A 12,528-nucleotide genomic window follows, 5' to 3' on the forward strand; every position below is an offset into this window, starting at 1 on the left:
CAGGGGATAGGCTGTCCAGGCAGAGATGACAGCACATGCAAAGGCCCTGAGGTCAGAAAGTTCTAGGGACAATCAAAAGGCCAAATGCCTTGAGCTGTGGGTGGGAGGTGAAGATGGGGAAGTGCACAGGAGTTTATAGGCCACTGTTGGCTATGGACATGCCCTGCTTCTCTGCAGAACCAGAGTCCAGCGGACAGAGCAACAGGTCAAGGTGGGACTAATACAAGGAGATATGACTGGCAGTTTGTGGGAGAGAATGTGGCCCGCCAAGTAGAATGCAGATGTGAGGGGCATCAGAGGACAAAAATTCAAGGCTGGGCGGACCCATCATGGGTACAGCAGGAGGTATGCATGGCCTAATATTGGTGAGGCTGCTTCTGACCACAGGTGGGCATCCTGCAGGCAAGGGGAGAGGTCTTGGAGAAATGCAGTTCACTGAGATGACTTGATGGCTCAGGAGGGTGGGCTGGTAAAAGCAGACCAGGACCCCACTCTCGCAAGAGTGAGCAAACTTAGCAGAAAACAGACCCGGGCAGAAGTGAGGGAGACAGGAGCACAATTACCCACCCCATAATGCAAGGTGAAGACCTGACCACCAACCTGAAGCTCACCAACCAAGAGTCCATGAGGTCCAACTCCCACCTGCCTCTCCAGCCCAACCCGAAGCAAACACCCCTTTGTTTTCATACTCCAGCCACACTGGCTGCTTCCCAGTCTTCCTCAACCACAGGGCCTTTGCACATGCTGTTCCCTCTGCCTAGGACACTATTCCCTTCACTCTTTACCTATTTAACTCCTTCCCTTCCCCAGGGATGCCTCTCTGATAGCCCTGATTGGGAAAATTCTCCATTTACACAATTCTAGAGCCCCTTAGTGGCATGAGACCACATTTCAACTTAACATTTATTTGTGTAATTATTGGTGAATATCTGCCTCTTATACGCTCCAAAAAGAGGAGAAAGCAATATACTACATCCTCCAGTGCCTAGTGCAGTGCCCACTGCTGAATATTTAATGAACAAATTAATTTGTAAAAAAAAAAAAAAAAAAAAAAAAGCCAGTCTGGCTCCTAAGTAACTGGCTTAGATCAGTAATTCTCAGAGCGTGGAGCTGGAATTAGCAGTGGCAGCAGCACCTGGAAACGTTAGAAATGCAAATCCCCACCACAGACCTACAGGATCAAAGAAAGGAAGGATTGCAATCTTTGTTTTAGTAAACCCTGCAGGTTATTACAGTGCACACTTAGGTTTGAGATCCACTGTCCTAATTACTTTGTTTTGAACTTTCAGGTGAGACTTAAGAGGACACCCCTGTGCAGATAAGAGCTCTATTAGGCAGGAAGCTAAGCTGATCATTTTGGATGAGCCTTGGTAGTGGGCTGGATTTTGGACATGACATGAGGGCTTTTGAAGGGCATAGTCACATAAAGACTCAGCTGCATAGGGAAGCTGACTTAGTCTCTGCACCCAGGAGATGTACATGCAGTTTCCTAGTTAGTGAAACTGTGGACACAGGACCCAGCTGTTAACACATGCTGCAATGCCTAAATTTTGCTAGGGTGAACTTGGGGGTAGAAAAATTGAGATATTTGCTAAGACAAGTTAATCCTGCAAACTTGCAAACACAAGGAATGCCATTCTTGTCTGAACAGAGCAGGGATCTGCCAGAATAGGGATCTCTGTGGGCATGAATATCTTCCCCACAATCTCCAGAGTCTTCCTGTTCTACAGCCCCCTCCTGTATATGTTCTAAGAGTGGGAGCCCAGTAAAAGTTGCTTACATGCATTAGTGAGTGAGTGAGTGAATCAATGAATGTATAAAGAAATGAATAGAAGAGATCAACAAATGCTTTGTCTAATGCAGTACAAATGTGGCTTCTTTCTACTCCACAACCTCCCATTGCTGGAGGAAGTTCATCTCTATTTAACCCTCTTCCTCTCAGAGTCAGTTTTAGGTTGGACCTAGACATTGGAGAAAGAGAAGCTTATGAGTTAGACTAACGTGCTTTATGTTTTCACTGTAAAGGGAGGTTAGGAGGGAGGAAGGCCAGGCCCTGCTAGAGAAGCAGCCCCATGAAGACAGGGAGAACACTGGTTTGGTTCACTCTATCTCCAGCACCTTGAACAGAACCAGGCAACTAACCCTTGCTCTACACATAGGAGTTGCCTGAGCCTCCCCTTTTGTTGCGTCATTTCATTCTTACCACAAAGAAACATACTAGCTCCACTTTACGAAGGATAAAGCTGAAGCTAGAGAATTTGAGTAAAGGAGCTAGACACAAACTCAGACCCACTGACCCCAAGTTCATTCCTCTGGCCCAGGCTGGTTCCCAGTGGCAGCTACCACCCAGACTCTTAGCTGCCTCCAGTTTTGTGAAATTTTTATCACTGGATCTGGGAAGACATATCCACCTCCTGGGCTTCTGCCCTATTTATTGCTACTCCTGGAGCTTTCAGGGTTCCTAATTCTGAGAGTCAGACAATATGACACAGGAAAGGAAAGGGATTGACAGTCTGGCTCCTGACAGGTCACAGAATTTTGCTTTGCCTTCTCACCATTTAGAATCTCTGCTGAAGGTGTGGACATCGTTTTGGATTGCCTCTGTGGGGACAACACTGGAAAAGGTCTCAGTCTTCTCAAACCCCTGGGAACCTACATTTTATATGGTGAGTGCAAAACAGCAGCAGGGACGTGGTCAGCAATAGGTACCTCTACATATGTGCCTGCAAAGGCTCTGAAAAGTGAATTGTGCTGATATGTTGGGGTAGTGGGATGGGGGTGTTTCATTTTTTAATGTTTCCTATAATGTTTCTATTACTGTGAGTTATTTTCAATTTTAAAATAACATGTGCCTACTGTCCTATATCCTATTATTTCAAATGGGATAAAGCAAGACCAAGCCAATGTGGTCATTGATATGACTAGAACCACTAAGGGACATCACCCACAGAAGGTAGCACAGGTGGAAAATATGAATGACTTCAAAGGAAGTTCAGAAATAAAGAAGGCATGAAGGACCCACAGTAGGATGGGGAAGAGTGGCTAGGATATGCATGTTTTAAGGGAGGATCTTTACTATTTGAGAAGTTGCAAAGTACACACTCTGCTTCCCCTAAACTACTCCTGAGCATCCCACGCAAGACAGAAGCCCTGAATAGATGGAACACATGTCTGTTCTTCTTCTCCTAAACTCCTCCTGAGCGTCCCACTCTTAAGACAGAAGCCCTGGATAGATGGAACTCATGTCTGTTTCCATCTCTTTCTACATTCACTTCTATGTCTTAGGAGTGGAAGAGATGTATGCAAAACAACTGGAAGAAGATTTTCTCCAGCAAAATGAGGCTCCAGGGCCTCCTTTCTCTCTTCTTTTTCTTCTTTTCTGTCATAGGCATGCAAACCAATTTAAACATTAGTCTCCACAGGCCGGGCGCAGTGGCTCACGCCTGTAATCCCAGCACTTTGGGAGGCCGAGGCGGGCGGATCATGAGGTCAGGAGATCGAGACCATCCTGGCTAACATGGTGAAACCCCGTCTCTACTAAAAATACAAAAAATTAGCCAGGCATGGTGGCGGGCGCCTGTAGTCCCAGCTACTCGGGAGGCTGAGGCAGCAGGAGAATGGCATGAACCCGGGAGGCGGAGCTGGCAGTGAGCCGAGACCGCGCCAGTGCACTCTAGCCTGGGCGACAGAGCGGGACTCTGTCTCAAAAAAAAAAAAAAAAAAAAAAAAAAAAAAACCACATTAGTCTCCACAAACTAAAATAGGAGTATTTGAAGCTAGATGGCATAATCTGAAGCAAAATAATATTGGGTTTATCCAATGTTTAAGATTCTTGGTACCTTGTCCCCTGTAGGTACAATAGAAAACTGAGTTTTAATTCTGGCTAACTCAGAAAAAAACACTTATTTCCCTGCTATTTCCTGAAGAGCTTATAAAATAGATATTTGAGAGGTATAAATATGCAAGCATTTTTTTGTCATCTTCAGACCATTGTAACAGAAAGAAGGCTGAACTCACCAGAGGCAGGTAAACATCCCATTGCTGGAATGTTCCAGTAATTTCAATCATAGCCATGTATTTCCTTTGAAGTGGACGTGTGGTTTATTATTATCAGTGAGAGTCCCTGCACGTTGCAAGGATATCGGATATGACTAACATGTGAGTCAAATGCAGATGGACGATGTAGTCATCCTTACTTATCATTTACCAATAATTCTATTTTTGTCCCAGTTTCTTGATGTCATTTTGGTGAAATTCAACTTGATTAATCCCATGTGAGTAGTTCACAATTATCTACTTCATTACGTTGATCACTTGGTCACTAATTAATCAAAGTCTAGTACTGGGATGCCCCGTGGTACTCACCCCATAAAAACAGAAGCAATGGTTCACTATTATGCTGGTGTAAGGGTAATTGCAGTCTTCGGCATTAAAAGTAATGGCAAAAACCACAGTTACTTTTGCACCAACTTATTAACTGGCTACTAGTTTACCCAGGCTAAATAGTGTAAAATACACATGACTATTTTATTAAATAACTCCTCTCTGAGAAGAAATTACTCCAAAATCTTTGAAGACAAGGCAGGAAAGTTGTTGAAAAAGCACCTGTATGGTATTTGAATGTTCCCCATACTGTTAAGAGCTCTCTCATTCCCCCCTCCCCTGCCCCGAAACCTTATAAAGGGTCTTTACTCTCCGTATGAGAATCTTAGGGAATCTTTCCCAACTCCACCTCCCATCTGCCCTCTGAATACTGCTTGTCCAATTGGCAAAACTCAGTTTCTCATATGCTTGTCTCAGACCTCTTTGGAGCTGACACATGGATCACACCATTTCTTTGGTCCCTGGGCCCCTTTTCATTCTCACCTGTGAGCTTCTATACCCATTTTTTCCAATCCATCTATATTTTAACTCTGCTCCACCTCTCCCACCATTTAGGTACCCAGTCCAGGTCAGAGCCCCAAGCCCCTCACTTGCTGGGGAATCAAATTCAGAATCACAAAGTAGATTCACTAAGGAGTTCCTTTCTCAGCCTCAAAGAACAGACCTAAAAAGACATTTCAGCAACTCATCATTTTATTCAAACGTTGGCCTACATCATATTTTTGCTATATGCCAAATTTTGCAAAGTAATAAGACGGTCATCATGAGAAATGTCACTTTCTCTTTGATCAGGGACAGTCAGCTAACATAGTCAACTTTATGCCTCATTCTCATTCCCCTCACTTTGCCAAGGCTTAATTAAATTTGTTTTCAAGATTTCTCCAGTTCCGGACCAAACAATTGCCATTTTTTTCATGCATAACAAGAGATGTCCATTTTCATTAGCAATTGCTTAATGTGGGAATCTTTCATTTTCAGGCTCATCCAACATGGTAACTGGAGAGACCAAGAGCTTCTTCAGCTTTGCAAAATCAGTAAGTATCCAGGCACATCTGATGTACTGTGGTGGCATGTTGATTCACATGTTGAGAGCTTTGTTTTTGTTTGTTTGTTTGTTTTGAGACAGCGTCTCGTTCTGTCACCAGGCTGGAGTGCAATGGCACGATCTCGGCTCATGGCAACCTCCGACTCCCTGGTTCAAGCGATTCTCCTGCCTCAGCCTCCCTAGTAGCTGGGATTACAGGCATGCGCCACCATACCCAGCTAATTTTTGTATTTGTAGTAGAGACGGGGTTTCACCGTGTTGGCCAGGATGGTCTCAATCTGACCTCGTGATCTGCCCGCCTCAGCCTCCCAAAGTGCTGGGATTACAGGCGTGAGCCACCGCACCCAGCTGTGAGCTCTTCTATCATAAGGCATTGACTTAATCTTGTCTTTCAATTTCCTCGTTCATTTCCCATAAAACCTGCACTCCTGCCCTATTCCCTGCAAATGGTCAGGACCAGAATTTAGACTACTTTTGTCTAAATGAAACAGAGAGGTGGGAGTGTCAGAGAAACTCAAGAAAGCTACAGCTTTATTTCAGTCAAAATTGCTTAAGTGTTGGTGTCTTTAATTATTGGTCAAAAATGAACTTAGCATTAGTGCATTTTCTTTGCTCCATAGAGCGGCCAGCCTTTCACTTTGCTACTTTCTGACCAGGTCTCTGGGGGTACTTGAGATTTCTCTGTCTCCCCATCCTCTTGAATCGGAGATAGAAATGAGGACCCTATGACCTTAACAAGATCCTGAGGTGACTTGTAGACTCAGACAAGCTCATGAACCACTCTCTTGGGTGATCATGCTTTCAATATGGTGGTTAGTTTGTCGGCCATTGCAAAGCGACATCCCTGGGCATTCACCTCACTACAAATTGACTCTGATCTATCTTCCTATCTGGAGCTATACTTGCTAGAATTATACTGATGTTGGCTTGAACTTTTTTGAGACCGAGTCTAGCTCTGTCACCCAGGTTGGAGTGCCGTGGCATGGTCTCGGCTCACTGCAACCTCCACCTCCTGGGCTGTAGCAACCCTCCTGCTTCAGCCTCCCAAGTAGCTGGGATTACAGGTGTGTGCCACTATACCCAGCGAATTTATGTATTTATTTTGGTAGAGACAAGGTTTCACCCTGTTACCCAGGCTGGTTTTGAATTCCCGGGCTCAAGCAATCCGCTTGCCTCAGCCTCCCAAAGTGCTGGAATTATAGGTGTGAGCCATCGTACTCGGCCAAACTTAGTTTTTTAAATATCATTTCAACACCCCTTCCCCAGCCCAAATTCCTTCTCTTCTTTGAAATGAACCACCAGTACACCAGCACCAGCCCATGTTGCTTTTTTTTTTTCTTCGCACGTTCCAGGGTATTTTTTTTTTTTTTTTTTTTTTAGTAATTTCAACTTTTTAGATTCAGGAGGTACCTGTGCAGGTTTTTTGCCCGGGTATTGTATGATGCTGAAGTTTGGGGTACAAATGATCCTCTCATTCACATAGTGAGCATAGTACCCAATAGTTTTTCAACCCCTGCCCCCCTCCCAGTCCCCTTTAGTGGTCTGCAGTGTTAACTGTTCCCATATTTATGTCCATGAGTACCCAGCTCCCACTTAGGAGAGAACATGCAGTATTTGTTTTTATGTTTCTGCATTAATTTGATTAGGAAAATGAGCTCCAGCTGCATCCACGTTGCTGCAAAGGACATGATTCCATTCTTTTTTATGACTGCATAGTATTCCATGGTGTATACGTCTCACATTTTATTTATCCAGTCCACCATTGATGGGCACCTAGGTTGATTCCATGTGTTTGCTATTGTGAATAGAATGGCAATGAACATACGGGTGCATGTGTCCTTTTGATAGAACGATTTACTTTCTTTTGGATATATACCCAGTAATGAGACTGCTGGGTCAAATGGTAGGAACTTTTATTTTTACCCCTCCCCAACAGGGGATTGCTGCTTTTCACAAGGGTTTATTTTTGCCCCCTCTACTTTTGGACTTCTATGTGCCAGTGCAGCGTCAATTGATCCACTCATTTGACAGGCATTTTCTGAGCACCTGCTGTTTGTGGTATTGTGCCAAGCACTGGGCTATTACAGCACATAAGATAGGTGCACTTTGGGCCTTTTTGGTTCTTATATACTAATGAGGGAGACAAACCCAAAATAAGCAAGATATGTTAATTAACATGATTATAAATGGCTATTAAACCTCTGAAGAGGATAAAAATCAAGTGCTAAAATAGAAAATAGCAGGGTGGGTGGAGGCAATTAAAACAAAGTGGTCAGTGAAAAGTATGGTAAGGAGTTTGGAATTCATTCTAAGTATGGCACTATGTGCTATTCATATGCCCTCAAAGTGCCAACATCAGCTTCCAGAAACATCAGCCCCAAACATTCTGGAATGGATAATACTCCCTGCATTTGTGAGATTCAAATCAAAGGTCTTCTCTTTGCATTTGGGCTTTAAAATATGGGTCAAGGATCATCCTAACTACAGAACCGACAGGAGGAGCAAGAATGGAGTGTAATGAAGGATGCTGTCTGGAGTGTGTCCCCTGAAGACAGGCTTTGTGCCATGCACAGCTGCTCTGTTGCTGTGGCTGTAATTAACATGATGTTGACAGACTGCTGTGGGTAACCACACTGGTCCCAAATTACATACAATTGTAAGAAGTGTTTTCCCTTTCTCCTCTAAATGCACAATCCCAACACACAGTGTTAATGAAATAATTGCAGCGTGCCCATGCTCAATGAAGGCATTCATAAATGCACAGCCAGGATGGGGATGGAGATTCCTCTGCCCAAAGCAGGGGTTCCTATTTCCAGAACGCTTTGTACCTGGAGGTCAAGAATGAGGATGTTTTCTTTCAGAGGCCTGCTCAAACACTGAGGGTCATTTGGAAGAAAACTGAAGAGAGGGCCTACGAAGAGGTGGAACTTTGCTCTGAAAAGTCCTAGAAAAAAAATTTTTCAATGTATTCAAGAAGGGCTTAGAAATTAAAGGTCGACTGGAATTATACAGGAATTTCCCACTCAGCTATCTTAATGATGTTGCATCTTAAAATCGCTGCAGTTTGTGCCTCACTATTTGTCAAACATGCTATTTTCTTTCACACCATAACGATGATGATACTAATAGAAGAAGTTAACATTTACAGAGCAATCTGACTCCAAATTTGGAGCTCTTATTCACTAAACCAAAAACATCTTGTTCAAATTAAGATAATAAAAGTGGTGTATGTTTATAGAGCACCTCATGCGTGGCAGACACTGTGCTAAGCACTTGATATGCATTAACACATTTACTCCTCATAACCACCCCATGAGGAACAGTGAGGAAATTGAGCACAGAGAAGTTAAGAGATTTGCCTAAAGTCACACAGCTAGTAAGTGACAAAGCTGAGATTCAAAACTAGGCATTCAGCTCTATAACCTTCTTAACCACAACTGTACATTTGCAGCAAGCATTCATTCCACAAACATTCACTGAGGCATTGCAGATACACTGTGAATCAAGTTATTATTTTTCTATATTTGCTGTATTTCCCAAGTTGGTTTGTTTTAAATGAGGGTCCTAAAAATCACTGTCCCATAGAATAGAATTTTGGATGTAAGGAATACGTTAAGTTATTTAGTGATTTCCAAACCACATGCCTCACCACACCATCTGTGCCACAAACCCTTGCCAGGTAAGACCATCAAAACTGAAAGCCAAGAAACCTAAGGTCAAATGCGTGGCTCTTATTGGTCCCCCGGCCCTCTCCGAATGTGCTTTTGTAAATAATTTTGTATATGAACCTCATCATTGTTTTCAACCTGCCTTTTCCATGCTTATTCTCCTAGTGACACGAGCTTCCCAATTAAAAAAAATAAAAAATTTTCACTTTAGTCAGTCTCCTTAATTCTTTTCGAAAACAGGATATAAATGAGCTCAATGATAACATAAAGGCTATCAATGTTTCTAAATGCCCATCACATTCCTCTTTGCATCCTGTATTGAAATGATTTTGAACATCTTATCCCCTAGAATCCCCCAGAAACTGGACGCTTGGATTTCTAACCTATAACCAGCACCAAAGGAAAAGCAATTAAATCATAACAAAGCAGTTGGATCCCCATTTCTCTAGGTTTCCAGTGGATTATTTACTTATTTTGATATGAAGGGAGGAGATGACAGACTGGAAAAGAGATGGCCACATTAAATAGTTTGTAGGTATTTCACCCAGAACTTTAGTCCAGGGCATCTCGGCTTTAATGCTATGGATATTTGGGGCTGGGTAATTCTTTGTTGTGGATTATTCTTTGCTGTGAATATTCTTTGTCCTGAGCACTGTGGGATGTTTAGCTGCATCCCTGGCTTCCACCCACTAGACGCCAGTAGCACCACCTCCCGCTTCAGTCATCACAAACAAACAAAAATCCCCAAACAATATCAAATGCCTTCTGGGGGACAAAACTACCCCCAGTTCAGAACCATTGATTCAGTCCCAACAATTTGGCCTCATCATTTCTTCATGCTGTTACTTCTTCCTAAATCATCCCTCCTCCCTCTTCATCCGATGGATCCCTACCCGCCTCCCCAGATTTAGCCTTATCAAAACCACTCCCCCAGGAAAGCTGCTTCTGCAGTCAGAGTGGCCACCTCCATCATGTTCCCCACCACATTGTGTAAACTTTTCTGCCATCCTAGTTCCTTTAACAACCCCATCATCACCACCACCATTCACTGAGCCAAGTGCTTTATACTTAATCACAGAGAACGTTGTAGAGCCACGATTCAAGTCCGGAGCTGATGATCCTGACCATGTACTTAATATTTCAACTACATGTGGCCATGTAGTTAGTTTTGGGCTCTCTCTCCCACTTAGACCTGAGCGTCTCATAAGCATCAATGTCTATTGCTTCCCATGCACTTGCAACAGTGCCTAGAAAAATAGATGCTTTTAAAAAAAATACACCACTGTCCAAGGCGGGTGGATCACGAGGTCAGGAGTTCAAGACCAGCCTGGCCAAGATGGTGAAACCCCATCCCTACTAAAAATACAAAAATTAGCTGGGCATGGTCGTGGGCGCCTGTAATCCCAGCTACTCGGGAGGCTGGGGCAGAGAATTACTTGAACCCGGGAGGCAGACGTTGCAGTAAGCTGAGATCATGCCACTGCACTCCAGCCTGGGCTACAGAGTGAGACTCCATCTCAAAAAATAAAAATAAAAAATAAAATAAAAAAATACACCACCAAGAGCAACCCCTTGGCCAGCTGGAATCTGCTGAGCTGCAGCCCCACGTTCCCCCTGTAGTAGCTGATGACATCAGCAATGCTGCCAATGTAGGCTTAACCCCGGTATTGAGTTCCTATAACCCAATACCACCTCTCTTTGCAGTGGTGGCAGGTGGAGAAGGTGAACCCCATCAAGCTGTATGAGGAGAACAAAGTCATCGCGGGGTTTTCCCTTTTAAATCTGCTCTTCAAACAAGGCCGGGCGGGCCTCATTCGGGGAGTGGTGGAAAAACTCATAGGGCTCTACAACCAGAAGAAGATCAAGCCTGTGGTGGACTCCTTGTGGGCTCTGGAGGAGGTAAGAATGGTGCTTTTCTTCTGCAAATAAACTCCTCTTTTTAACTCAGGAAGGTTTGGGCAGCCAAATACAATCTTCTACTAAATGATTTTTTTCCCAGATGGGTTTGTTTTAAATGAGGGTCCTAAAAGTCACCTGTACCACAGAATAGTACTTTGGATATAAGAAATACTTTAAGCTCTTTGGTGATTTGCAAACCACGTGCCTCATCACACCATTTGTGCTCTGAACCCTTCCCAGGTAAGGCCACCAAATTTTGATCAATGTCTACAATTCGGTGTGGTTACAAGAGCATGTGTACATTGTTGAGGCATCATACATATTGTCACCTTGTGAGTACATAAGAGATCAGTGTCAGAGCAGACAGTGATCTGAGCTAAAATGATTTGTGTGCTCCGCTGGATGCCTTGAGCCCCGATGAGACATTAGCTATCACGATGGACTTTGGAATTACTGCTGAATTGTTGGGTCTAAAGTTGGATTGAGTCTTTTTGTTAGTTGATCTTCCAAAAGTTATAGTATTTGGAAGCATTCCTTGATCACAAGAACATTAAGAACCCCTAATGGAGCCTCGAAGGATACTGAAGCATGAACTGGTTGTATTGGTTCACATGGCCCTTGCTAGGAGAAGGCAGGGTCTAGAAAATCCTTCAAGTAAGGGGAAGGTTTGGGCATTTGGGGAGTCAGTTAATGGCAGCTCCTTGTAGAAGAAATGAAGAGATGTGGCCTGGATTTTAAGAGGCATTTCGCTAAGAAACCTAAGTCAAGATTTCTTAGCCTTGGCTTCAGGGAGCCATGACGCCCCTGAAAAATATTTTAAAATATGTGGGAATGTTTTTTTTTTCATTGTTTTGCATTTTGCATGAGGGAAGTGCCTTATGGTACAAGTACTTTGTTGTACTTTTGCAAGTCACAAATACTTTTTAAAAAAATAACAAGTACGAAAGTTCTAGTGGGTGTGCTTCTGGCAAGAAGGCTGTGTCTGTTTGCCTGAACGATTACATTGGCCCAAATCCAATGGCTTCTCTAAGCACAGAAATACCACTAGAAAGGCTCTTTGGGGGTCACTGTATATTCAAATACAACTGGTCCTAGATCAATGGAGCAGGAATGTGCCTATATCTCTCTCTAATACTGCAGTGTCATGGATGGGCTTAAAACCTTTAGCCACCAAAAACCTTGTTTCTTATGACAAAATAAATACTCATTACAGAAATTCCTAAATTAACCAAAAACATAAGGAGAAAATAAACTGCAAGTCCACATTCCAGAGAAGGATAACATTGTTAACATTTCGGTTTGCTTCCTTCCAGTCTTTTTTCTATTGCAGATGCTCACCGTGATTCAATTTAGTGCTAAATCGTATCAGATAATTGTGCATGCCTTCTGCTGTGTAATTGCCAATACAGCTAGCCTATTGCTATAATTTTCTTTAAATGTTTTTAATTCAGTGAGTCAGACACCCATATGGTATTCACTATCATATCTCATTGGAACAGGGAAAGGGCTGGGCTACCTGGTTACTGGGTTCTC

At 43.2% G+C, this 12,528-nt stretch overlaps 1 protein-coding gene across 1 annotated transcript in view, besides 1 other annotated feature; it reads left to right on the top strand.

Annotated features, from left to right (window-relative positions):
* VAT1L (vesicle amine transport 1 like) overlaps positions 1–12,528 on the top strand; it is a 191,544-nt gene that overhangs the window by 85,244 nt on the left and 93,772 nt on the right. The window contains exons 5-7 of the mRNA NM_020927.3: positions 2,563–2,666; positions 5,362–5,417; positions 10,801–10,995. Coding sequence (NP_065978.1) covers positions 2,563–2,666; positions 5,362–5,417; positions 10,801–10,995 — 355 coding nt within the window. The remainder of the gene's footprint in view (positions 1–2,562; positions 2,667–5,361; positions 5,418–10,800; positions 10,996–12,528) is intronic.
* Positions 3,514–4,713: an enhancer, noted in NCBI's record as "P300/CBP strongly-dependent group 1 enhancer chr16:77911218-77912417 (GRCh37/hg19 assembly coordinates)". NCBI's record gives its function as "activates an origin of replication core promoter dependent on BRD2, BRD4, P300/CBP, MED14 and CDK7 cofactors, with strong dependence on P300/CBP, by STARR-seq in HCT116 cells {active_cell/tissue: HCT116}" and the evidence as "EXISTENCE:reporter gene assay evidence [ECO:0000049][PMID:35650434]".

This window comes from Homo sapiens, chromosome 16 (assembly GCF_000001405.40).
Source record: "Homo sapiens chromosome 16, GRCh38.p14 Primary Assembly".
Taxonomy (NCBI): domain Eukaryota; kingdom Metazoa; phylum Chordata; class Mammalia; order Primates; family Hominidae; genus Homo; species Homo sapiens.